General features: G+C 48.9%; 2 long non-coding RNA genes across 2 annotated transcripts in view, besides 2 other annotated features; one reads left to right on the forward strand and one right to left on the reverse strand.

Moving 5' to 3' along the window:
• The window catches only part of LOC105375220 (uncharacterized), a 48,157-nt gene that overhangs the window by 4,273 nt on the left and 16,575 nt on the right, over positions 1 to 27,309 (forward strand). The window lies entirely within an intron of this gene.
• Positions 5,425 to 5,925: an enhancer, noted in NCBI's record as "H3K4me1 hESC enhancer chr7:30747055-30747555 (GRCh37/hg19 assembly coordinates)". NCBI's record gives its function as "activates a minimal SCP1, AML or CMV promoter by ChIP-STARR-seq in primed H9 embryonic stem cells {active_cell/tissue: H9 hESC(primed)}" and the evidence as "EXISTENCE:reporter gene assay evidence [ECO:0000049][PMID:30033119]".
• LOC105375219 (uncharacterized) lies at positions 13,154 to 25,273 on the reverse strand. The gene is made up of 4 exons (XR_927156.3): positions 25,166 to 25,273; positions 18,653 to 18,854; positions 17,820 to 17,910; positions 13,154 to 16,102 (listed from the first exon to the last, which is right to left on the reverse strand). It is a non-coding gene; the product is annotated as an uncharacterized LOC105375219 (long non-coding RNA).
• Positions 25,357 to 25,858: an enhancer, noted in NCBI's record as "H3K4me1 hESC enhancer chr7:30766987-30767488 (GRCh37/hg19 assembly coordinates)". NCBI's record gives its function as "activates a minimal SCP1, AML or CMV promoter by ChIP-STARR-seq in naive H9 embryonic stem cells {active_cell/tissue: H9 hESC(naive)}" and the evidence as "EXISTENCE:reporter gene assay evidence [ECO:0000049][PMID:30033119]".

The following is a 27,309-nucleotide window of genomic DNA, read 5'->3' on the forward strand; positions in this document are numbered from 1 at the left end:
GTACTGCAGGAGCACCTTGAAGGGTTTAAGCAGATGGAGGAATGGGAGACCCTTACTGCAAATGGGGAAGTCTCCTGAGCAGAAGCAGGGAGCAAGGTCTCATGCAGCTGGGAGCCTGGCTGGGTGGGGCAAGCTGGAGGGAAGCCAGATTCTCTGCAGCTTTAGGAGGGTCCGGGTAGCAGTAGGCACTGTGGTGCTTAGCCCAGGTTCCTCTCTTGGGGGGGTGTTCTGGGTGCCTGTCTTAGCTTGGGCTGCTGTAGCAGAGTACCATACCCTGGGTGGCCTTAACAACAGACATTGATTTCTCTCTATTCTGGAGGCGGTGATATCCAAGATCAGGGTGCCAGCATGGTCAGGTTCTGATGAGGGCCCTCTCTTGGGTCTGTAGGTGGCACCTTCTTGCTGTTTCCTCACATGGCAGAGATGTTGGACTCTTGTCTCTTCCTCTTCTTCTAAAGGCACTAATTCCATCATGGGGATTCTGCCCTCATGACCTCACCTAACCCTAAACCCTAATTACCTCCCAAATAGCATCACATCAAGGGTTAAAGCTTCAACTTGGGAATCTGGGGGGTGGGGGCACACAGATTCAATCCATGTCAGTGCCATTCCCCTGGCTTTCCTTGTGCTTCTAAATAGGTCCCTTTTCACAACCTAGAACTTTCTTAGAACTCTCCTGGGGCAATGAGAACCACTTTTTGCACAAAGTACCCAGGAATTTATATCCTCCCAACCCCCTAAGGGCATCCTTAGCATTGAGTGATTGGTGTTCCTTTGCCTGGAGGTGGAAGGAACTCTGAAGTGTAATGGACATTCTAGAACTCCTTGTGGAACCAGGCAGAGGCCGGGACTCTGCCTGGGATCTTTTCCATTCTCCGTCCTGCCTTGCCTCGTCTCTTACCAGTCGCTCCTGGGAACATTTTCTTTACACATCCCTGCACAGGAATCCTCACCTTTGGGGAACCCCATCTAAGGGAGCCTAAATGGTCAAAGAAGTCTGTCTGGACTTGATCCCTCTAAATGGAAGGTGTTAACAACAAACAACGACAATAAAAAAACAAAAAACTTGAGCCTGCAGGGTTTCCTCTAGACAGCCTTTCACTTTCTGAGGCTGCTGGTGGTAGAATAAACCTTGCCTAGCAACGTGATCTGAGCAGGTTAATAACAACCTGCTCGTTTATAAGCTTTGTGTTACTAAGGGTAGATTCAGTGTGGAAAGGAGGCTTTATGTTTTTGAAAATGCCTTCATGGGCCTTTTTGGTGATGAAAGACAAACTCAGCATGATCTAAAAGAGAAGTGTGTGGAAAGAGACCTAACTAGCTTTGTAAAGCAAAGCTATTGAAATGACTAGATTGAGCATGGCATTCCAAGATGGAGACAGTGTAGAAGGGCTAGGAGCTGGGCTCTAGAAAGGAGGAGGAAAAAGAAGAGGAGACACGGACTGGCACAGGCCAGGTCCAAGCATGGATGAACCAGGAGCTTCCCTATGGTGGTGAATTGTCAATGAATGTTATGCCTCATCTTCAGAAAAGTCTACAATACACAACAGCCTGTGCCAGCAGTGAAGGAGGAGGTGCTGGGGCATGTTGGATACAGGGTTAGGAGAGGTGAGAGGTTGCAGGAAGCGGGAGCTGAACTGGACATTTCTTTGTTTTGTCCCAAGATGGTACTGTCCTTCTGAGAAATGCTCCATCCTCTACTCCAACGCTGCTCAGCCTTTTTTTTCCCATTATTATTTACAAGGAGGCTTTTTAGATATTTATTTTCCTAATTGCCTTCCCTCCTACCATGAAATTTTAATACCACAGACATACTGTATATGTGTCATGTACTTGCCTCTTTGGAGGGCCACAGACCATTCTCATATCAGATGGTTCTGCCTCCTAAGAACGGATTTTGTTCCCTTGGGAGCAAAGAACAGGCATGCTCTTTTCCAGCCACGTGATCAGGCTAGCAGCCAGCCACTGTGGATTGGCCAAATGCTATTCACCAAGCTGGACAATGAGAGTGTCTCACCCCGCTGACCATGGTTGGTTGGTACAGGAATGGACAGCTGATCTGAAATTACCCAATCATAGCCCTCCTCTGGGATTTTTATTTTTATTTTTTGAGACCGGGTCTTATGCTGTCACCTAGGCTGGAGTACAGTGGCATGATCATGGCTCACTATAGCCTCTACCTTCCAGGATCAAGTGATCTTCACACCTCAGCCTCCTGAGTAGCTGGAACTACAGGCATGGGCCACCATGCCCAGCTAATTTTTAAAATGGTTTTTGTAGACACAGAGTCTCATTATGTTACCTAGGCTGGTCTCGAACTCCTGGGCTCAAGCGATCCTCCCATCTTGGCCTCCCAAAGTGCTGGGATTACAGGTATGAGCCATCTTGCTCAGCTGGAATTTTTAAACTTTGTTCCAAAGAGAGAGCCTATTCCTTTCTCATGAAGAACCAGAGATGCCAAGTGTAGCGGCTTCATTGAGAGCCAAGCCAAGAGCATGGGCAGAGAAGAGAGGAGGAAAGAAGGGCCTGGTAGCCTTTAAGGCCTCAACTCCAGTTGGACCTGAGGCTAGCCTTGCCCCTGCCTCCAGTAAGGGAGCTTTCTAATAAACCTTCCTTTATGTTTAAAGTTTGTTTCTGTTGCTCACTACCCCTGGAATTCTGACCAACACAGAAGTGTTCAGGAATTGAACAGGAGTAGACTTTAGAGTAAAAAGTGACCAGGAAAATGTAAGACACCCCACCCACCTGCCTGGGAGCCAGCACTGTTGCAGGGAGCCTAGACCTTCTGTAAATCTGATAGGATGGGGTGGCTCGGTCATTGTATGTAGTTGTGAAAGGAAACGGTGACTTTGAAGGGCTGGAGGACTTAGGGACACATGTGTCCCCAAGCAGGGGAGGGGTAGGGGAGGGTCTGCATTTTAGAAGGTTTGCTCAGGCAGCAGGGTAGTCTTGGGTTGGAGGTGGCAAGTCTGGAGTGAAGAAGTCAGTGTGGGCGAATGCAGCAGCCCAGGCAGGAAGGGATGAGCTGGTCCTCTCAGTCCAAGGAGGAGTCTAAGGAAAGCCGGCACCTGTCGAGAAACGGACCTCTGCCCTGCATTTGGGGCCACCACACAGACCACATCTCTGCCTGTGACTAAGACTGCTCAGACCCAGTGCCATAGGAGACGAGGTGCCTTGGGTCCCGCAGAGGGAGCTCCCGGCTCCACCCCAACCTTGTGGCCAGGTGACATTCCCCAGGTTTCTAATGCTGTCTCCTTAATTTAGCTGCGGTCACACCAATTTAGCCTCAGGCTGCAGACTCTGCTCTTGCCATGCAATTTCAGAACACAATTTTACAGCATTGTTGAAAGAACAGACATTGATTTGGGTCAGTTTTAATTTTCATTTTTACCCCATGGGTTCCATGGGATGTTACTTTGATTCCACTCTCTTTTTTGCCTCCCAAATCCTGGTTCAGGAAGGCCAGGGCAGAGCAGGAGTGACGATGCAGTTCTGTTGTCACTGGTCTCTAAAGAAAAACAGGTCACGTTTGATTAATAGAGATTAAGTCAGCTCTGGTGGAGCTTCTACCTGCTCATGAACGAGCCCTGAACTTTGTGCCCGAGAAGAGCTGTGGAGCCCGTGTTTTCCGGAATAGTGCAGGCTCCGGTGCCCAGTGGCATCAGGCCTGGCTCTGTCCTGTCTGTGGTTTCACAGCTGTGCCCTGTCCCATGTGCAGGCTCCTTCCAGGAGCAGGCGCCATGGGCTGTCCTGGGCAGAAACCCATGGAGGGGATCCCAGCTGGCGCAGGGAGGCTGAGGCTGCCCTGGAGGGCTTGGCCTGTGCCAGGGTCTGGGCTCCAACCCCGCGGGGCCTGTCCCTGCCCCTGCTCCAGCGTCTTTTGTGGCTCACGAGATGCCTAACTTGCTCTCTCCACTCTTTCCCCCTCGGTTCTCCTGCCTGTAAAACAAAATAATACCTGTCGTGGGTGGCCATTGTGAGGACCAAGTGAGGACCTGTGTGGACAAACTCTGCCTAGAAATGTGAGAGGTTGCCGTTATTGTTATTTTGTTTCAAAGTCAACAAACACTGAAGGCCTACTATGTGCAAGACCCTGTGCGATGCCTGACCATGGGTGCTTAGAACAAAGTAGGTTATTAGATGTCAAGTGAACAAATGGACAGGGAGGACCCTGGGAGCCTCAGGGCAAGGGGCGTGGAGTGGTCAATGGCAGGGTCACACAGTGGGCAGGTTCTGGATGCCATTACCTATGCCTGACTTTCCTGGACCCCTACAAGAACACTGGGCCGGAAGGCAGAAGACAGTGTTTGATTTGAACTTCACACAATTTTATTTATTGAGCAACTATTAAGTGCAGGAGGCAGGGAGAGAAGACACAGTGGTTGCCCCAGCTTGGTGGGGGAGATAATAAGTAAACAGGCAAGGCCTATGGGGGGAGGAGTAAGCATCACCAACCCGTGCACCCCGCCAGTGGGGCCAGGGAAGGCAGCTTAAGGAATGAGGGGACCTCAGCTGGGTGAGGCTGGAGGTGTCAACAGCAAATGAGCGAGAACAAGGCAGGCCCACGGACCAGCATGTGGTTTGTATGGGTGGCATCTGTCATAGATGGGTGCCTGAGGGGATGTCTTAGCCAGTTTGGGCTGCGGAACAATACCATAGACTCAGCGGCTTATAAAAAATAGGACTTTATTTCTCACAGTTCTGGAGGCTGGGAAGTGCAAGATCAAGGTGCTGGCAGGTGGTGTCTGGTGTGGAACTACTTCCTGGCCTCCAGATGGCCATCTTCTCCTCATAGCCTTACAGGATGGAGACAGAGCAAGCTCTCCTGTCCCTTTATATGAGGACAAGAATCCCATCATGAAGGGTCTGCCCTCCTGACTAGTCACCTCTCAGAGGTCACATTTCCTAAGACCATCACAATGGGGCTTAGGATTTCATCATTTGGCTTTGGGGTGGGGGAGTGGTACACAAACATTCAGTCCATAAAAGGGGGACTACTAGGGTGAGGCAGGGCCGTGGGCAGAGCGCAGGCCTGGGGCATGTGGGCTGGGTAAGGCAGACTTTGGAGGTTTCCACCATGGGAGTGACAAGGGCTGGAACGTGGGAAGAATAGGGTGGAGGATGGCTTGGCTGGGACACGCCCAGGGGCAGGGAGATCAGGCAGCAGACTCTGCAGGGACGTGATGGTGGCCTGAGTCCTGGTCCAGATGCTGCTATCCAGAGAACACTGCAGCCAGAAGGGACCTTGACAGTCACTCGATTCATGCTTCCATCTCACAGGTGGAGAAACCAAGGCCCCATGAGGCCTGGGACCTGGCATTTTCAGGAAGGCCACCCCCAGGAAGGCTTCTTCCCCAGCCACTTAGCTGGCCCTCTCCCCAACCTTTTTCTGCCTGCTCAGTGAGACAAATCAATGACACATGTCTCTTCCTCTTGTTCTGGGCCACGCTGCCTCTACGGCAGGGTGATGTTGTGGGGCCTTGAGCTTGGGGCTCCCCAGAGGGCAAGAGCCTGAGACAGCAGGTCAATAAAAGGTGAGTGGTCGACGGGATTGGCAGATCCTGGACTCAGCCCTTCACTGGGCAAATGTCAGGCCCAGTGGCTGGGCAGCTTGGGGGCATTTCCACCTGAATGCAGGGACAAGACCACCGGCCAGTGGCATCAGACTGGCAAGGTGAGGAGGTGGCCTTTTGTAATGGAGTCACCTGTGTCCAGAACAGCTGTCCTCCCCTTGGGCCATGGGAGGACAAAGGAGAGAGCCAGAGGAAACCAGAGCCGAATGCCACATTGACTTCAGAGTGCTCTCCTGGTGGCTGGTGGGGCTGGGTGGGGTAGTGTGAGAGTGAAGCCAGCGGCCTGCAAGGTTTGTCCTCTGCCTAGTTCACTTGGCCTGGAGCCTGAACTGGGAGGGAGGATTCCGGTCTGGCTGTAAGACTTACTGGCTGTGAGCCCTTGGAGAAAAGGGATTCATCGTCTGGACCTCAAGTTTCTCATCTGTGAAATGGAATCGTCTCCATGGCTGAGCTGCCTTACATTGCCCCTGGGTCATGTTTACGTTCTTACGGATCCAGCCTCCCTGCCAGGGGTTCCCTGGTCTCTGCTCGGCTACTCCCTGGGCTGGGGCTGATGGCCTCTCAGGCAGACACTCTGATCATCATCATAGCCTGCCGGTGAGTAGTCTGAGCTAGGCTGTCAGTAGAGAAGGGTGGGATCCACTTTCTTCCACTCTGATCTCTTCTCCACAGCCCTCAGTTATTCCTGGAATTAGACAAAGCCCTGAAAAAATGCGAAGTAGGGGACGTGGAAGTATGATAGCTGCAACTAGCACCTCCTGGCTCACCCCTCCCACCTTCCCAAGATACACCGAAGTTATCAATAATGCTGAAGGCTAGAAATAAGCCAGAAGCAAGGGGAGATGTTTAACTAATTGAAGCCCAAAGAAAGGAGTGAAACAGAACAACACCGAAGCCACTGTTTGCCCTGCCTTCCGTCTGGGGAAAGGAGGAAAGCCGTGTTCCTACTGTGTGAGGGCTGCATTCTCCTTGGCCTCCCTCATCCATATCTCTTACCATGTGGTGACAGCTGTCCTTTGAGATTTAACTCAAGTTGCTGTGAGCACGCTATCCTGCCTCCCTGAGGGGGTTCAGTGACCTCCATGGGCATGTATGTGTTCCAGGGAGCTCATGTTCTCATGGCCCCCTCCAGTCAGAGTCCCAGCTTCTTCTTTTTTTTTTTTTATTTTTTTTTGAGACAGGGTCTTGCTCTTGTTCCCAGGCTGAAGTGCAGTGGCATAATCATAGATCACTGCAGCCTCCACTTCCCAGGATCAAGCAATTCTCCCACCTCAGCCTCCCAAGTAGCTGGGACCAACTGTGCCCAGGTTTTTTTTTTTTTTTTTTTGGTAGATAAGGGGTCTCTCTATGTTGCCCAGGCTGGTCTCGAACTCCTGGACTCTGATTTCTTCTGTGGGCCCAGCTGTGTGCCAGCTCTGATCAGGAAATATGGGAAGAGGAGACCCAGGCCCATCCATGAAGATGAGATGGGGGGAGGAAGAGAAGCAGAGGAAAAATCCAGCCTCATTCTTGGGAGGCTGACTTACCCACAGTCAGGGAACAGCCTAGGCTGGGTGTGAGCTGGAGGCTGCGAGATTGTGCAAGAGGGATGGGAGGTCACAGGGGCTGGAACCTGTGGCAAAGGATCCCAGGGGAATCAAAGGATGGAAACGATTGGGTGGTAGAAAAAAGGGAAAGAAACTCATTCCCATTGCTTCACGCTCTGGGAAGGCCATCACAATGCTATTCTTAGAAGGAAGCATATTTAATGGGAAAGTTAAATCCCACACCCATCTAAACCCTTGACTTCTGCATTTCCAAATACAGGGCTTGGTGAGTTACCTGAAACTGTATTAATAACAGCTAATGCATACATAGCCTTGGTCCCTGGTAGGCATAATTCTAATCCTTTCAGATATACCCTATAAATGTATATAATCCCTATATAAAACCATATTGTTACCTGTGTTTTAGGGATGAAGAAACTGAAGCACAGAGAGCTGAGGTCATGGGCCCAAGGTCACAGCTCTAATAATAAGCAGTGGATCTAGGAGTTGACCCAGCAGTCTGGGTCAGGAGTCCATGCTCTTAACTACTGTGCTATGGTGCCCTTCTGTGGGAAGGGCCACGCAGCGCCTGCAGGTCCTTAGAAATACCTCTCTTGTTTTCCCAGGGCTTGCTATGAGAGTATCACTCACCCATCCCCCGCCCCTGGTCCTCCTGCTGAATTTCAGAGCCCATCTAGCCATCAACTACCCGCGCCTCCACTGCTCTTACCGGGAGGCTGTTTGTGAAGGCAGAATTGGAATTTCTGAGTAAAATTTTCTTTCTCTTTATTTCAGAAATATAGTTCTCTCAAACTGAGCACCAGAGCTATTGATTCAGCAATAATAGAAAGTATTTGTGTGGAGAACCATGCCTCCTTGCACAATCTGCTAATGTTCTCGTTGGCAGGTATATAGAATATTGACAAAGGAAATTCAAGTTGTCCTGAATTTCCCCCAGCTTCTCAGGAAGAAGGGGAAATTAGTTTTGAACATGGCATAAATACCATCACAGTTGTCCCCAAATATTGATTCTTTGCAGTGTCTTTTATTATATGCACATAATAGGAGCTCAATAGGAATTGACTAAAGCCAGATTGCCTGGTGAGAATTCTGTCTGCTGTGCTCTAGCTGTGTGACCTTGGGTGAGTGACTTCCGTTCTCTGGCTCACAATTCCCTTTGTAAAGTGGAGCTGACAATAGTACCTTTCATGGTACCTACCTCTTTGGATCATGGGGAACTACATGTATGAATCTAGGCCCAGTGGTTAAATCAGCGCCTGGCCCATCGTACACCCTCAGTCAAAGACTAGCTGCTACTGTGACAGGCTTCAAGTGGAAGAGTGAAAGCAAAATATGGCTTGGATGGAAGAGGTCACCCTGGCCACCCTGCTCCTGATGATTGGCACCAGAAGTGACTTTGATCTTTTACAGATATTTGCACTGTTGATGAAAATCTAGCAAGAGTTGGCAAATTAATACTGTATACAAAAATAGAGAATTTTGCAAGTAACTTTAGAGAACATCTAGCTTAATTCCCCTCATTTTAGATGTGCAAAGTGAGGCCCAGAGAGGGGAAGGGCTTGCTCAGGCTTCTACAGTTGGTCCCTGTCAGAGCTGGGACTTAAGTCCCTCTAGGGAAGAGGCTACGCTGCTTCTCCAGGTTCATTTCTTTATCCATGGCTGTGACCAAATAAAAGATTCAAAGGTCAGAGAATCAACATACTGCCTTTGGGAAAAGAAATCACAGCTCAAGTTGGCACGTTTGGCGCTGAGTCACCAGCATACACTGCTAGGGAGGGACAGCAGCCATCAGTTTAATAACCTCTAAGCCATGTGACTAGTTAACCAGGGAATTCTTTTTTTTTTTTAATTATTATTTTTTGAGATGGAATTTCATTCTCATTGCCCAGGCTGGAGTGCAATGGCGCAATCTTGGCTCACTGCAACCTCTGCCTCCCAGGTTCAAATGATTTTCCTGCCTCAACCTCCTGAGTGGGACTACAGGCATGCGCCACCATGCCTGGCTAATTTTGTATTTTTAGTAGAGACAGGGTTTCTCCATGTTAGTCAGGCTGGTCTCGAACTCCCGACCTCTGGTGATGCGTCCACCTCGGCCTCCCAAAGTGCTGGGATTACAGGCGTGAGCCACCACACCCAGCCAACCAGGGGATTCTTTCTGAGAAGTTCTCACCATGATTTTCTTCCTGGTCATTGATGACTGATCCCATGGGTAATATGTGTTTCTAATCATTAGAACCATGGTGATGACATTGCAGGAACCAGAGATGCTTTTCTACCCAGTTCTCAGGGAGGATGCATGACACCCTGAGAAATATGATTTGTATCTTAGCTAGTTAGTGGTAGATTTAAAACCAGAACCCAGAACTGCTAACTTCCCAACTAGGAATCTAACTACAACAAAAGAGTACCTCTCTAAGCAAGCCTTCTGCCAGTGATTTTCTGCATTGCAGTGTTTTTACTTTTTATTTTTTGAGACAGAATCTTGCTCGTCACTCAGGCTGGAGTGCAGTGATGCGATCTTGGCTCACTGCAACCTCCGCCTCACAGGTTCAAGTGATTCTCATGCTTCAGGCACCCAAATATCTGGGACTAGAGGCATGAACCACCATGCCTGACTAATTTTTATATTTTTAGTGGAGATGGGGTTTTACCATGTTGGCCAGGCTGGTCTTGAACTCCTGGCCTCAAGTGATCCACCTACCTCGGCCTCCCAAAGTGTTGGGATTACAGGTTTGAGCTACTGTACCTGGCCAGTGTTTTGTAAAATATTTCAGAAAATCCCCCAACTCTGGCCCTTATAAAGACAAACCCCATAGATACAGGGAAGAGGATTTGATGCCCATGTAGATTTGAGGCTGTAGATATAGATAGAGAGGCAAGAGATTACTCCCCCAGAGAAAGCTAGGTTAAGCTGTTGGTCATCTTTGACTTGTGACCGGCTCTGAGATTACAGAAGTTCTAACCTAGGACTACTCAAAAGAGGATGATCCTAGATGCTGCCAACTTGTGAAATTTTGGCCACTAGCCTTCAAGAAGTACAGAAATTGAGAGTAAGTGTTTAGAAACTTTTATGGCAAGTGATAGAGTAGTTTTGTGTTTGCTGAATCTAATAAGTACAATGTGAACATACATTTTGTAGATCTTTATGGTTTGTTTCATTTTTTTCTGAAGATCTGTTTTTGTTGTATTTCTCAGAAATATTCATCCACCATTGATTGACAGTAATGAAAGAAAATTCTGGCCCTTCACCTTAGGTGAGGTTTGAGAAGCTCTGCCGTCTAGGTCTCTTCTCCAGAGATTCTGAGGCAGTCGGTCAAGGATGCAGGCTGAGCACCTGCTGGGGTCAGGGCTATCCAGGTGATTCCACTGTGCAGCCAGGATTGAGAAATTCTGCCATCCCAGATCAGCAGCAGCGGCATCACCCGGGAACATGCTAGAAATGCAAACTCTAGGGCCTACCTCAGAGTCACTGAATCAGAAGTTCTGGGGGTGGGGGAGCAGCAATCTGTGTTTTAAAAGTCCTCAAGTTTATTCTAATGCAAGCTGGCATTTGAGAACTATTGCCCTGGACTAAGTTCCTGTCTCCCAGCATTGCTGTGGGTCTGGCCTGACAGGCAGAGATGTGCACATACTGATCCAGTGAACATCTAGAACTGAAGCACAAACATGCCCTCCAGCTGCCCAGAACCTTTCTCCTCCCTATACAAGTGTGCCACCCAAGATTCAGCCTGAAGAGCAGGGCGGAAATCTCTTCATATCCCTGAAGACGATCTCTTTCTTCTTTCTTCTCTCTGATGAGAAATCCAGCATTACCTATTTTTTACTTATTCATAACTCACTCATTCATTTACTGAATCATTTGTTGAACCAAATATTTTTGAGTTCTCTCTGCATGCAGGTGTGATGTGGGTCTGGGATACAGAGTTGAAGGAAAGATGTAGGTAGAAAGGATAGGTGCAGGGAGTAAGGGGATTTACCTGACACCTGACTAGTCCTGGTTCTGGCCCTGCTTCCTATGAGTAAGTCACGGCCGTGTTCTTATCTATAAAATGGGTGAAGTTTGGACTAGATGAATCCTTAGGGTCCTTCCATCTGTAGTGACCTGGGCCTCCAAAGGAGGGCTAGTGGCTGAGGCACAGCACTAGGCCCATAGCAAGTAGGCACATAGCAAGTTCTCAATCATCATTGGAGGAGTCAATGGATGGATGGGTGCCAAAATGGTTGGATGTTATGAGGACGAGCATAAAGTCTTTCTGGGGGCAGAATAAGTCATGTGTGTGTGTGTGTGTGTTTGTGTGTGTGTTTGTGCGCTCCTGAGCCGTGAGCAATGGTGACCCATCAAGTCCTGCATCCCTGCTGTCCTGGTCCTGGCTACCTAGCTTCACAGGCAGAGCAACCCAAGCAATCAGAGCATGGGGGCGGCTAGGGGCAGGGCAAACTCTCCAAGGTTGCCCAATCCCATTTCCTGTCTGAGCCAGAGGCTCCCTATGCAGCTCCCCAGCAGCAAAGCACCCTGCTTAGGCTTGTACAGGTCCTCCTCATCAGCTACTCAGCTCCCACCAGCATTTTGTTGGGGGGATGGTTCTCCTCCAGGCTGCCTTCCCTAACTGCGCCAGCCCTCGGTAATCTCCCAGCCCTGTGCTCCTATAGCCCCCGAAGTCTTGCTCTCCAGCCCTTGCTCTCTCCCCAGCCTGGACTCTTCTCAGCTGCCCCCACTATCTTGGAAGCTCCATGGACACTCATAAATACTTACTTCAAGAATTATTTTTAATAACATAAGAAATACATAAATACATTATCATTATTAAAAAATAGAAATAAGACAAATGTCCCCCTTGGCCCTCCCAATACCATCTGCCTCCCCTGAGAAGACTTCTTATCAGTTTCCTGAGTTTCTTTCCACACTTAAAATTTTGCATTTACATTTGAATTTTTGTATTTCCATTTTTTGTGAGGGTGTTTACACAAATATACTTTATGGATGCTCTTTTCACTCCGCAATGTGTCTTAGAGAACTTTCCAAGCCAGTAGTTTTGTGCTGTATATCACATGTGTGTCATCTATATGTTACCTATGTTATGGCATAAATATGGCATAAAATACCATTTATGTTAACAGCTGCCTTTTGTACCAGAGCAAGGATACATGCCCTTATTAGTGGAGGTGTGGTACATTTTCAGTTTCACAGTGATGAACTCTGCTGCAGAGAACATTTTTCATGTGCCCCCTTGTGTAACATATGTAAATATTTCTCCAAGTTGTAAACTCAGAAGTGGAATTGCTGAATTGGAGGCTATGCACACTTTGTATTTCAATAATGCTGCTAAACCACCCTTCAAATTGCTTGCCTCCCAGCACCTGAGGCCCCCAATATGTCCCACCCCAGTCTATAACAACCCTCAATCTTCATTTTGCCAATCTGATAAGCAGGAAGGTGAATCTCATTCTTGCTTTAATTGGCATGTCTCTGCTTACTCATGAGGTAGAGCATATTTTCATATTGGCCGTTGGTAGAGGAACTGCTTGTGGAATAAATTAGGTGCTTAGTAAAGACACTGGTAAGGGAGGAGAAGAGTGGTGTGGCTCTGGGCAGGTTGTCTGTGAGGTTCCAGATCACTGACCTAGTCCAGGAGGGATGTTCATGGGAGCAGGCTGGGGTGCAGGTGAGGAAGACATTTCTGACACATAGAATGACAGAGTGGCACAGCCAGAGACCAGGCTGGGGCCCTCACCTCACCTCCTAACTGGATGTCCCTCACTATCAGAACTGTCACTGTCTGAACTCAGGAGCCCAATAGATGTGCATAGTGAGGATTATAGTGTTTTTGACTACAACTTGCTTCAATTATTTATTGCCGCATAACAAACTACCCCAAGATGTAGTGGTAAAAAAAAAATAAGATATTTGCTCATGTTTCTGCAATTTGAGGAGGGCTCAATGGGGGCAGCTCAGCTGTCAACGTGTTACCGAATGTCAGGGGTTCAGCCTAGGTTGCTTGCTGCGCAGAAAGCCAATCACTGAGACACCAAGTATTGCCAGGAAAGAAAGGCTTTATTATGGGTGACATCCACCAGAAGATGGGAGACAAGTCTCAAATCTGACTTTCTCGCTGACCAAAGTTAGGAGTTTGTAGAGCAGGGAAGGAAGAGGAGCTAGTGAACAGGCAACAGATGGTCAGACGAGAGGTCTGGCCTCTCATTGTCTGGATAAGGTGATCTGGAATGTATCAGTTTCTTGATCCTGTCTGGGAGGCCTGATGGTCGATTTCCTGAGAAAGGAACTCATAAGACAAATGTAAGTTTCTCAAGCTTCAGTTCTATGGGAAAATTGGGCCAGTTTCAAATGGACAGTTCCATGAGTTGTCTGCTGGGGTTGGAACATTCAAGAAGGGTTCTTCATTTACTGTCTGGAAACTGGGCTGGGATGGCTGGACTAGCCAGGGACAACTCTCTCTATGTGGTCTCTCCAAGTGGGTTAGCTCAGGCTTCCTCACAGCATAGTGGTTTCAGGGAAGTGACACTTTTTACATGGCAGCTGGCTCCTCCAAGAGTGCAAAAGTGGAAGCTGCCAGGTCTTCTTGATACCTGGACCAGGAATGCCCAGAATGTCATTGATGCTTCATTCATTGCAAACCAGCAACAGGACGGGTGGAGGGGAAATAGTTTCCACCTCTTTAGCAGAGGAGTAGCAAGGGCCCTTTGTAAAAGAGCACGTGGGCCCTACCCCACATGGAAACACACTTGAAATCTTTTCTAAGCAAATTGAGAAAAAAAGGAGAATGCATTATAAGGACATGGGGTGTCTCAGGTAACCCCGGGCTGGAAATGCAGCCGTGGATTGGGAAGAGCCATCAGTAACCCAGGCTGCACCTCCCTCGCCTCCCTGAGGGCACCCTGGTCTCCCTCAGGCGTCCTCCTCCTCTCCCTGTGAACCAGCTTTCTGTGCTTTTTCATGTCCATGGACTCCATAGGTTTCCCCAGAACAGCACCCTGAGCCCCCCAGTTTTCAAGTTTCTGAATGTTTTTCTGAATCCCACTTCCAAACCCCAGATTGACCCAGCCTGGTCCAGTTGTTCTAGATGAGGAAAGTGAGGCTGAGAGACTTCAAAGGTATTGCCCAGCACAGCTAAGCGGCAAAGCTAGGTTCTGAATGTGGGTCCTCCATCTCACCCCAGAGTGAAGGCTCAGTGCAGGCTGAGCACTCACAGGGCCCTGCCCTTCTTCTTCCTGCAGCCCTTGTCAAGCTCAGATCTGTGGGGGCTGAGCAGAGCTGGGTCTGCCAGGCCAGGCCTCTGCCTTCTTGGCAGCCTCCTTTGTGCCCTGCTTGGAGGGGGCAGCATCCTGCCATGTGGAAGAGGTGGGTCCATTTTGAGTGTAACTCTTCTAGAGGAAGGGCTTCACTCACCCCAACTGAGTGCCTTCACTCTAGCTCCAGTGTGGGCTGGAGGTTCTGAGGCTCAGTGCAGAAAGGGGCAGGCAGGAAAGCTCACTTCTGCATCTGCTCAGTGTAGGCCATCCTTCTTGCTGCCACGCTGATGGAAAGGCTAGCTGCACCTCTCTGGGTCTGCCTGCCTGGCTGGGATGAGATTTTCCAGGGCTGCCTCTGACCTGGCACTCTCCCCTACAGTCTGTGCAAAAACCTAGCTCATGGCACTACAGTCACCTGTACCACTTTCTAAGCTTTCTCCCTGAAACAAGGGTTGGCCTGTTTTAAGGGACCCCTGTGCTGCACATCATCTGACGCTTCCTCTTTGCAGGGCCTTGGCGGATGTCAGCCATAGCCTGGAATGTCCCCCACCCCCAGCTCTACCTAAGGACACCCTCTAAGACTCAAGGAAAAGGCCACCTCCTTCATGATGCCTCTCTAGGTTTCTGAGAACTGTTTCCACTTCCATTTGGATGTCTGCCTCCTTTCAACTTTGATTAGGGATTTTGGACATAGGCAGCAAGGCCTGGAATATCCTCACAATATATCATTTATTCATTCAACAACTATTTATTGAATGCCTACTCTGCGCAGGCACTGCTGTAGCACTGGGAAACAGAAGAGCTATAACTCACTGCCCTCATAGATCTGAGATTCTGCTATGGGAAGTTGACAATAAACAAGATGACTAAGTTAAGTGCATGGTGAGTCACATCTTGGTAGGTGCCATGGGGATAAAGTTAAGGCAGGAAGGGAGATTAGAGTGCCAGGGATAGGGCAGAATGGGCAATTTAAAAGGGGCGGGGGAAGACCTCACTGAGAAGGGGATATCAGAACAAAGACTTGAAGGAGGTGAGGGAGTGGGTCATGAGGCCCTCTGGAGGATGAGCCTGGTAGGGAGCGGCTGCCAAGAGCCTGAGCAGGAGCATGCCTGGCATGTTTGAAGCACAGTGTGGCAAGAGCAGAGAGGAAAAGAGGGAGGGAGATGGAAGGCAGGGCCAGACAAGACATGAAGCAAGGTCATGCAGGGCCCTGTGGGCCATTGTAAGGCCATTGACTCTAACACTGAAGGAAATTGGGTTACTGGGCAGTATCTCTGTTATCTTATTATTAATAATAAAGAAAAGGACACGGTAAGCAACCATGAAATTAATAGTAATTTATAATAATAATTAATATTATTTTTAGTTTTCTCTATCCACCAAGCACTGTGTTAAGCACTTAATATAAATAATCTAATTCTCACAACCACGCTATGTGTTGGTACTCTCATTATTTCTGCTTTGCAAATGGAGAAATTGAGACTCAGGGAGATATAGCAACTTTCCCAAGGTAGAACAGCTAGGAAATCTTGGAATAGGAATTTGAATTCAGGCAGCCTGACTCCTGAAGCCACACCCTGGATCATCTCTTATGCTGCCTTGAATTAATGAATAGGGATTAATTGAATCCTTCCTAGCTGTCATACTGGGATGTTTAGTCCCAAGATGAGACAATGTGGTGCATGCCATGACTGTATCAGAATCCTGTAGATGAGTGCCCATCTATTCATCCATCTGTAGGGAAAAGAAAGAGAGATCAGATTGTTACTGTGTCTATGTAGAAAGGGAAGACATAAGAAACTCCATTTTGACTTGTACCCTGAACAATTGCTTTGCCCTGAGATGCTGTTAATCTGTAACTTTGCCCCAACCTCTTTGCCAATTTTTTCCCAATCTTTTAGATCTGAAGTTCCCTGTTCTGGAAACCATGGGCAGAATTGTTCTATTGTTTGAAATAGCATAATTAGATTTTCTGTAGAAGTTTTAACTCCCCCTCTTCCTGAGAGAATTTTAATGAAGCTGAGATAAGAGGCATATTTACTTTCAGTTTGCCCCATTGTTACCCTGGGTACCTCCAAGCACACAAGCTTACCACAAGGCTGACCATAGACATACTCGGGAATCTCTCCTTGGCTGTCCTCAATGCTCACGTTCTTAGCGTACCTTCACCCTAGAGAAAGGCACCCATGTTGGGCGGCAGATGAAGGGGTGGCCTGCCCCTCCACACCTGTGGGTATATCTCGTCAGGTGGGATGAGAGACTGAGAAAAGAAATGAGACACAGAGACAAAGTATAGAGAAACAACAGCGGGTCCAGGAGACTGGCACTCAGCATACCAAGGACCTGCACGAGTCTCTGAGTTCCCTCAGTTTTTATTGATTATTATTTTCACTATCTCAGCAAGAGGAATGCAGTAGGAAAGCAGGGCGATAATAGGGAGAAGGTCAGCAAGAAAACATGTGAGCAAAAGAATCTGTGTCATAATTAAGTTCAAGGGGAGGTACTATGCCTGGATGTGCACGTAGGCCAGATTTATGTTTCTCTCCACCCAAACATCTCAGTGGAGTAAAGAATAACAAAGCAGCATTGCTGCCAACATGTCTCACCTCCCTCCATAGGGTGGTTTTTCTCCTATCTCAGAATTGAACAAATGTATAATGGGGTTTTATACCAAGACATTCAGTTCCCAGGGGCAGGCAGGAGACAGTGGCCTTCCTCTATCTCAACTGCAAGAGGCTTTCCTCTTTTACTAATCCACCTCAGCACAGACCCTTTACAGGTGTCGGGCTGGGGGACGGTCAGGTCTTTCTCATCCCACGAGGCCATATTTCAGACTATCACATGGGGAGAAACCTTGGACAATACCCGGCTTTCCAGGGCAGAGTTCCCTGTGGCTTTCTGCAGTGCACTGTGCCCCTGATTTATCAAGACTTGAGAATGGCGATGACTTTTATGAAGCATACTCTTTGTAAACATTTTGTTAACAAGTCACATCCTGCACAGCTGTAGATCCCTTAAACCTTGATTCCACGCAACATATGTTTTTGTGAGCTCAAGGTTGGGGCAAAGAGGTTGGGGCAAAGTTACAGATTAACAGCATCTCAGGGCAAAGCAATTGTTCAAGGTACAGGTCAAAATGGAGCTTCTTATGTCTTCCCTTTCTTCATAGACACGGTAACAGTCTGATCTCTCTTTCTCTTCCCTACACCATCCATCCATCATCCATCCATCCATCCATCCATCCGTTCATCCATCATCCATCCATCCATCATTCATGCATCCATTCATCCATCCATCCATCCATCCATCCATCCATCCATCCATCATTCATCCATCCATCCATTCATCCATCCATCCATCCATCCATCCATCCATCCATCCATTTACTCTTCCTTTCCTCCATTTCTCCCTCCCTCCCTCCCTCTCTGTATCTATTCATGCATCAACTCACCCAACTATTTAGCATTCATTGAGGTTTCCTATGTACTCAGACCATGCTGGACCAGGGGTCCTCATCTGTTCCCTGTTGTTATTTTCTTATCCTGTAAAGGAGGGAAGAAGAAACTGAAGAGGAACTTCAGATTCCACCCCAGCTCTATCCTACCTAGCCCTGTGACCTCTCTGGGCCTCAGCCTCTCTGTCTTCAGGAGGGCTTCGTCTTGTAGTTTTCAGTCCACTCTGATGTTTCCTGGCTATGGGGACTGCTTATTCGCGGCAGGGGAGCCCTGCCTGCGTGCTGTTCCTGCTACCTGGATGTGGGGTCTCAGGAGAACCCTGGCTGCATACGTGCCTCAGCCTCCTTCTGGAGACCAGGTGGGAGGTCTGCCCTTAGTGTGGGACACCATGAGCTTGCCCTTCCTTTTGTGTGAGCTCAGTGCTGTAGGAACCAGGCCTGGTGTGGTAAGAAATTTCATTTCCACCCTCTACCTCCATCCCTGCCTGGATAGCTCAGCCCTGCCCAGAGCCTGTGTGGCTATGGAGCTGCTCACCTAGGCAGAGGTGAGACCTGGGAGGGAGTAGGGATGGCCTCCAGCCAAAGTTGAGGCCTGCTTACTGGGGACAGGATGATAGAGCCCAGCTCACTGCCCTGCCCTGCCTTTAAAGTCCTGCTCACATTTTACCTCCTTGGAGAAGTCTGATATGAGACAGTTGGAAGGGTAAGGAAGGATTATGCATGCATGCACACACACGGGCATGTATGCGTGTGTGCACACATACAGAGATATACAGACAGATGGGACACACACAAGCAAACACACCCACACTTCCTCGGGCAGGGCATACCTGCTCGCTCAGCCAGTGTCTCTGAATCAGGCCATGTTGTTTGTCTTTCCTTGCCCATCCCTTCTGCTTGTCCTTCTTCTCTGGGCTGGTCTGGGTTCTGTCATCTCTCCTCTGCTCGAAAACAATCTCTTAGGCCTCTGGGCATCCATTGTGATAGGCAGAAGAATGGTTCCTGAAGAGGTCCACATCCTAATCCCAGAACCTGTGAACATTAGGTCACATGGCAAAGGGAAATTAAGGTTCACATGCAATTAAGATTTCAGTCTTAGTCTGTGTGTACTGCTGTAACAAAATACCTGAGACTGGATAACTTGTAAAGGACAGACATTTATTTCGTACAGTTCTGGAGGTTGGAAGTCTAAGATCAAGGCACAGGCTGGTTCACTGTCTCTGCCAGAAGCCCAGTCTCTGCTTCTAAGATGGTGCCTTGTTGCTGTGTCCTCTGGAGGAGACATACCCTGAGTGCTCCCATGGCAGAGAAGCAAAGGGCTTAAGCTAGTTTCCTCCAGCCCTTTTACAAGGCACGAATCTATGACTGAATCACTGTCCAAAAGGCCCCATCTCCCTCTCCCAATATCACCACCATGGGGATTAAGCTTTAACACATGAATTTTTGGAGAAGACACATTTAAACCACAGCAGTTACTAATCAGCTGACTTGAGATGGGGTGATTATCCTGGATTATCCAGATGGACCCATTGTAATCACAAGAATACTTACAAGTAGAAGAGGGGGCAGGAGAATGAGAAGCAGAGAGACGGCAGTGTGGGAAAGACTTGGGGCAGTGTTGCTGGCTTTGATGCAGGAAGGGGCCATGAGGCAAGGAATGCAAGCAGATTCTACAGGCTGGAAAAGCCAAGGAAGCAGTTTGTCCCCTAGAACCTCCAGAAGGATTGCAGCCCTGCTGACACCTTGATTTTAGCTCCATCAAACCCATTTTGGACATCTGATTGTTAGAGTGGTGAGAGAATACATTTGTGGGTTTAAGCCATTAAGTTCATGGTGATTTGTTACAACAGCAATCAGAAATGAATACATTCATCCATTTAGCTGGTCTTTCTCTCACTTGACACTCTGACTTGTGTTACAGTTTCCTGTGACTGGCTGCAGAGACATTATTGTCCTGTTAGTTGACGACTTGCAAAACCATACACAATGGCTCTGACTGACTGTGGGACCCTGGAAATGCCCCCTTTGCTCTCTTGTCCTCATCCCTCCATCTCTGCAGTTGGGGCTGGGTTAAGGGCCCTTCAGCTTCAACATCCTGGGTCTTGGGGTTTTCTATAAACTAGGCATGAGTTCCACTAGTATGTTGGAGGAACGGAACCGGGAGCCACCAGAGTGACAGGTCAGCCTGGGGTCTGCCTCTCCAGTCTCAAGTGTAGGACCACCCTGTCTCAAAACAGCCTCATTCTTGGGGAAACACCACTCCAGGGTCAGAGGCCACCAGGGCTGTTTCTCTCCTGCCTCAAACAAACTTTCTTGAGGCTGGAAGACTGTCTGCTGGATGTGAGCCTGGATGGTGCTATCATCTGAAAAGTGGGAAAACTTGAGGGCTTAATACCATCATCAGAAATCCACCAGAAGACTGGAAAATGCTCTGGACAGTTTTCCCTTCTGTTGCCATCTACCTCCCTGCAGCAGAGGCTGAAGTAGCCACCTACATCTCCCTGGGCCCTTCCCTTGTTGTGCTGTAAACATTTGCAACTCTTTGCCTAAAGACTTATCCTGACAGCCAGAGTCTCCACCCCACAAGCATGTCAGGCCAAGGGCTGGAGATTTAAAGGTTTCTGGAGCAGCCTTCAATCTATGACTGGCAGGCAATGATGTATAACTACCTCCACTCCCTCGCCCCTCAGGTGAGATAACTGGAAGGCACGTGTCCTACACTGGCCCTCAGCATTCCCTGGCAGGAGGAAGCTCTACTTACTCAGAGGGACAACACTATTTATTGTGGGGATATCCAAAATATAACCTTGGATCCTTGTTTCAGGATCTGCTTTTGGGGAATCCAAACCAAGATATCACATTTCCTCACTACTTCCCCTTCCTCTAGTTTCTGCTCTGCCACTTACTTGCTGCTGGGGAGCCCTGAGCCAGGGTCCTCTGTGGAATGGGGCTTATGCTATCTATAGCTTGACTGCCTATATTGCCTTCCCTGGTGCTTACCACCCTAGGGGAAGCCCCAGTCTGGAATTGAGGTGGTTGCCTGCACTCCTTTGGAGCTGAGGGCAGGGGGTCCTGTCTCAAGGCCATGATGGTATCAGAGGCCAGCATTCTCTGCTTGTGACCTGCTCAGCTTTGGGGGCCCAGACCTATCAGTCACTCACCTCTGAGGTAGTGAATGAGCTCATCTGCCCACTTCAGCCTCCTGGGAAGGACAAGGGAAGCAGAGGGGAAGGAGAAAATGGGTGCAGGTGGAAATAAACAGTCTGGCTTTAGTCCTAGGACCAGACAGGGCAGGGAGGACTGAGACTCTAAGAAGGGTCGAGGCCTGTGTGGCTTTGAACAGGAAGAACCTCACCCCTCCTAGAAGCCAAGACCATCAACCATGGCCCCGATCCTCTTCTTTCTGTTTCAGAACATCATTTAAGCCCCTCTAGCTAGACCCATTGCCTTCATCTGAACCCATCTTTTCATCCTGCCTCATTTTCAATCTGTTCTCAACTGAACTCTCCCCAGATACATTCCATATTTCCCACCTGTAGGCTTGGGGGCAGCCAGGAGTCCTAAGCTGAGGGAAGAGTGCATACAAAGATCCAACAATGAGGACAAGCATGGTGAATCCAGAGACCACTGGGCTGCGGTGCTTGACCCGCTGCATTGAGAAGTTTGGAATTATAAAAGCAATGGGGAGCCATGGAAGGCTTTATGGTGGGGGGAGGAGATGGGGCTCAGCTTCTTTTCCATCAACTTGGGTCAGATCCATCCTTTAGGGATGGTGGCAGGCTCAAATGCTCACAAGTAATTTGGAACTTTCCACATTTCTTGTCCTGACCCCTAAACGCCAGTAGCACTCCATTGGCATTTTGATAATGGAAAATACCTCCCTGGAGAGGGCTATGCCCTCCCAAGTTGAGGACCACTGATGGGGAACCTCACTGGTACCCTGGGCAGTGGCTGGATGCATGGAGAGGCAATGAGGGCAGGGGCTGGAGGGGTGGGCAGGACCCAGAACCGGGGCCTGGGAACCAGGGAAGGGGCTACCTCCTGCCTACCCAGTGCCCCTGAGTCCCAGAACAAAAGCAGCAGCCTCATCAGCTCCCTTGGGGCAGGGTTGAGCACAGGACTTTCCCTCTTCCCTTCAAGAGCTGCTCCCTCCACCCCCTGCTCCCCTCCCTCCGCTGCTCCCCTCCCTCCCCTGCTGCTTCTACTGAGGGCTTAATACTGGGTGTCAGAAGGCAAGTTCCAGCCGATAGGAGAGGAAAGAGTGCAAGGACACCCAAGGACACCTGAAAGGCTGGCAACAGTGGTGGTTGCCTTCGGGTGCCTAGGGATCCTTTCTGCCTTGTAAATTTTGTTGCATGTTCGTGTGTGACTTAAGTTTTATATTATTTAAAAAAAAAGTAATTTCAAATGTCAGAAGAGTTGCAAGAAATGTACAAGGAACTCCCATCTACCCTTCACTCAGATTCATCAATTGTTGCCATTTTGCCATCTTTGTGTTATCATCATTGCCCTGTGTATATGTATAAATATATACACAACAATATTCACAGCCATGCATACACATATATGTACATTATGCCTTAAATACTTCCTACTTCTATGTGCATTTCCTAAAAACAAGGACATTCTTTTACATAACCACAGTACGGTGATCACAGTCAGGAACTAGAACCCTGACATAGTACTATTAGCTAAGCCACATGGTCCATATTCAGGTTTTGCCAGTGGTCCCAATAAAGTCCTTTCCAGTTGTGTTTTCCCTGTCCAGGATCCCCTCCAGGATCAGGTGTTGTGTTTACGGGTCCTATTTCTTTGTTCTCCTTTAATTGGGGGTGGTTCCTCAGCCTTCCCTTGTCTCTCATGACCTTGCCACTCTTGTTATTTGGTAGGGTGTCCCTCCATTCAGAATTGTCTGATGTTTCCTCATGATTAGCTTCAGAAAACAAGTGGTGTTTAAAAGTAACGATGAGGAGTTGTTGAAGCCTAGGAGCCTAAGAAATGGAGGAAGCCTCACGTAAGAGGTTTTGGAGGCTGGCAAGCCAGGTTTTGAAGCTCAGTTTTGTCATGATTCATTCACCCATTCAGGAACGATCTATTGAACATGTTTGATGAATCTGGCACTGCTCTGGTGTCCTAGAATATATGAGTGAACAAAAACAAAAACTTCACCCTGTAGAGTGTCATGGGTTGAAAAGTGATGCCCCTTCCCTGCAGCCTCACAGTGGGACCCTGTTTGGATACAGCGTCTTTGTAGATGTAATTAAGGAACAGATCTTGAGACCAACCTGGATTACTAGGATGGGTCCTCCTTCCAATAATGAGTGTCCTTATGAGAGACAGAAGACACAGACACACAGCGGGGAAGGATGCATGGAGACGCAGGCAGAGGTTGGAATTAGGCTGTCACAAGCCATGGGATGCCAGGAGCTGCCAGAACCTGGATCCTCCTCTGGAGCTTTTGGAGGGAGCATGGCTCTGTCGGCACCTTGATTTTGGACTTCTGGCCTCCGCGACTGTGAGAGAATAAATCTCTGCTGTTTAAGCACCCTGGTCTGTGGTGCTTTGTTACAGCAGTACCAGGAAACCAATACCTGCAGGCTGCATTCTAGTGGGTGGTGTAGGGGCAGGCTACACCCCAGCAATGAGCTTCAGCAAATTTCTTTACTTCACCAACTTTTCATTGCCTTCGTTAAAAATCAGGATAATGGCACCTGACTCAAGTGGGGATTAATGGATAATGAAAAGCAAGTACCTAGAACATAGGAGGTGCTTTATAATTGACAGCAGTTACTACTGTAGCCTGCCAATACCTCCAACAAGAACCTAAAAGAAAGGTTTGCCCAGGCAATGCTCTTCTGGACAGGTAGCTGCAGAGCAACTTCGTCTGATCAGATTCCAGCTCCCTAGGAGCCGGCAGGTGGTACGGAATTCTAGAGAGTTCTGTTCCTTTAAGCAGACACAAAGGGGATAAATCGGCCTCTGCAGCCTCCTGGCTCAGAACATCTAAACCAGCATGCTTTTATGCTTCCAGGCAGGCCGGGGTCTGCCAGAGTCCATTGTCTCCTAAAGGGTTGATTAATTGGGAGCCGGTAATTGGTTTTGGCTGCGGGACTGGGGAGGTCACAGCCTCTCCGGGATGGAGAGCTCTATGTGTGAAGACACACGGGGCAAGGTGGCTGGAGCCCAGAGCTGTGAGGGAAGAATGGGACTTCTTCCGTGTGTGTGTGTGTGTGTGTGTGCGTGTGTGTGTGTGTGTGTGTGTGTGTGTGTGTGTCTGAGGGAGAGAGAGAGAGAGATTGAGAATTATGACTCCTCTCTGAGCCTCTTTCAGGACAACATGGGGTGCAGTGATTTTTTTTTTGAGACTGAGTCCCACTCTGTCACCCAGGCTGGAGTGCAGTGGCATGATCTCGGTTCACTGCAACCTCTGCCTCCCGGGTTCAAGTGATTCTCCTGCCTCAGCCTCCCGAGTAGCTGGGATTACAGGTGCGCGACACCACACCTAGCTAATTTTGTGTTTTAGTAGAGATGGGGTTTCTCCATGTTGGCCAGGTTGGTCTCAAACTCCTGACCTCAGATGATCTCCCTGCCTTGGCTTCCCAAAGTGCTGAGATTACAAGTGTGAGCCACCGTGCCCTGCCGGGGTGCAGTGATGTTCAGCAAGTGAGGCTGCAGGCCCCAGAGTAGTTATTCTGCCACCATCCCCTGGAGAGCCTGTAGGGGTTGAGAACTTGGAAACCTCCCCCTTGGCCTTCTAGGCCCCAAGAGTTTCCCTGGCCTCTTTCATGTAAAAGGTGTCCTAGCCATGGTGTAGGCGGTGATTGGGCCAGTGCCACTGTCACCAGCAGGTGGGGGCAGAGGCCACAGGGTCCTGTTTGAAGGTGGGGGCCTGGACCCCATAGCTTCTTCAAGGCTCTTCTGGGGCCAGGACTCCTGGTCCCACCAAAATGGCCCCATCTCCCGGAGAAAAAATGGCTGCTGAGTGGCAAGAAATGTGGGACTTCAGATGGTTTGCCAGCTACCCAGAAGCAACAGCCTGGTGTCTGTTGATATTTTAGGTTGCATGATGCAATTCCACCTTAAATTTGCATAGCCATTTTTTTTTCCTGCTGAAGCCCTGTCACATCAATCCATTCAATGCCAGCACCTCTTCCTGCTGTGTAGATCAGCGAAAACCTCTTTCTGTTCCCCTAAATGGTAAACTGAGGCTCCACGAGGTAAAGGGCTTTCCCGTCACCACTCAGCAAGTCAGAGGAGCTTGAGAACTACTGAGTGACCCGTATAGACAGCCCCCGACCACCAACAGAGGTGTGCCTCTTAGTGAAGGATGGGGACCTTGTTACCTGGGAAATTCCCTTTGCCTCATCTGCATGGACAGCACTTAGGGTTCAAAGGTTGTTGAGCACACAGCAGGGAGAGCCTCTGCAGCCAGAAGATAGAAGATGCCACACAGGGCGGCACCTCAGAGCAGCACATTTGTATAACCACACGACAGTCCACAGGCATCTTCTGCAAAGATCCTGGCAGCTTACACTGATAGCTTGAGTCATGCAAATTGCTAGATTTGGTTTCCATTTATTTGCAGATGAATATCCCTCTGGAGGCAGGAGGAGGGAGGAGAGCACTGTCTCTTTTTAGTTATTCGGGGCATTATTTTCAAAGCCCTCTGAGCTGAGGCCTGGGACTAAGGGTGATTTTGATTCTCCAGTGAGTCCTGTTCTGACTGCTATTCACAATAACATGCCCTGTAAATCGTCCAGGACCCAGGCTGATCCTAACCACTTCCTCCCACCCCTGACTGCTGCCTCATCCCCCCCCTTCTCTTTGCAACCCCTGCCTCTTGCCTCAAGCAATAAAGCATTAGGAAGTACTGCTGCACACAGTCCTAGGTGTAGGTCAGTGGGGGGCCAGGGGTCAGCAGGCAGATGCCATGCAGAGGAGCAGGATCCCCTGGGGGAGCAGCTTCCACACTTGCCGCCTTTAGCCAGCCTTGAAGGATAAGTCAGATCAGGTCACTCCTCTGCTCAAGTGCCTTCAATGGCTCCCACCTCACTCACAGCAAGAACCATGGGCCTTACAGTGGCCCACAAGGCTCTCCACACCCATGAACTCCTGCCACCCTCTCCCTCTTTCACTCTCCTTCCATGGCACCAACCTCCTTGCTGTTCCTGGAACTTGCCGGGTGCTCTCCCATCTCAGGGCCTGTGCCCCAGCTGCTCCCTCCGCCCAGAAGGCACCATAGCATTGCCCTTGCAGAATGAAAGCTGTCTTGCCTAAGAGATTCCTCTACCTTCCCCCTTCTGTCAGAGGTGTGTGAACCAGAGCAACTCCATCTTGAATAGGAGCTCGGTAAAATGAGGCTGAAACCTACTGGGCTGCATTCCCAGATGGTTAAGGCATTCTAAGTCATAGGATGAGACAGGAGGTTGGCTCAAGATACAGGTCATAAAGATCTTGCTGATAAAACAGGTTGCAGTAAAGAAGCCGGCTAAAACCCTCTAAAACCAAGATGGCCAAGAGAGTGACCCCTGGTCGTCCTCATTGCTACACTCCCACCAGCGCCATGACAGTTTATGAATGTTATGACAATGTCAGGAAGTTACCCTATATGGTCTAAAAATGGGAGGCATGAATGATCCACCCCTTGTTTAGCATATCATCAAGAAATAACCATAAAAATGAGCAACCAGCAGCCCTCAGTTCTTCTCTGTCTATGGAATAGTCATTCTTTTATTTTTTTCCTTTCTTAAAAAACTTGCTTTTACTTTACTTTATGGACTTGCCCTGAATTCTTGCTTGCATCAGATCCAAGAACCCTCTTTTGGATCTGGATCAGGGTCTGGATTGGGACCCCTTTCCTGTAACACTTCCACCTCTGGGCAGCTCACAACCACGGGCTCACAGACTCAGGGTTGCACAGGCTTCAAGTGGGGACTGAGTGCATGCAATCCATGTCCTGGGGCTCCCCGTGGGACCAGAATGAAACTGACTCCAGTCCCTGCTCTGCTGCCCCCTGTTCTGCCCTGCTTCCTCGCTTCCTCACTTCCCTCCATACATCACGTGCCCAGATCCTCATCTCAGGCTCTGCTTCTAGGGAACTGGATGCAAGACTCGCATTATTTAAAATTGCAAACCGTATCTCTCAACTGCATCCCCTTCACTCCCTGCTTTATTTTTCCTAACTTATCATCTTCTAATACATACCTTCAGTTATTTCTTGGTTTTCTTCTTTTGCCCTGTGTAGCAGGTAAAGCCTTAGTTAGAAGGCAGGAATTTTGTCTGTTTTGTTGCCTTTGTTCACAGTCTGCAAACAGTAGCTGCTCAATAAATAGTTATTGCATGAATGTATGCATGGATTAAGTATTGCTATAGCTGTGAGTGCAGTGGGTACCTAAGGGCTGGGCTCAGGGAGTACTCCTGGGATGGACAGGATGGGGACTGGTATTGAAGTACTGGTGGGGACCAGCTACAGGAGGAGGAAGAGGAG

This window comes from Homo sapiens, chromosome 7 (genome assembly GCF_000001405.40).
Source record: "Homo sapiens chromosome 7, GRCh38.p14 Primary Assembly".
In the NCBI taxonomy this organism is placed as follows: domain Eukaryota; kingdom Metazoa; phylum Chordata; class Mammalia; order Primates; family Hominidae; genus Homo; species Homo sapiens.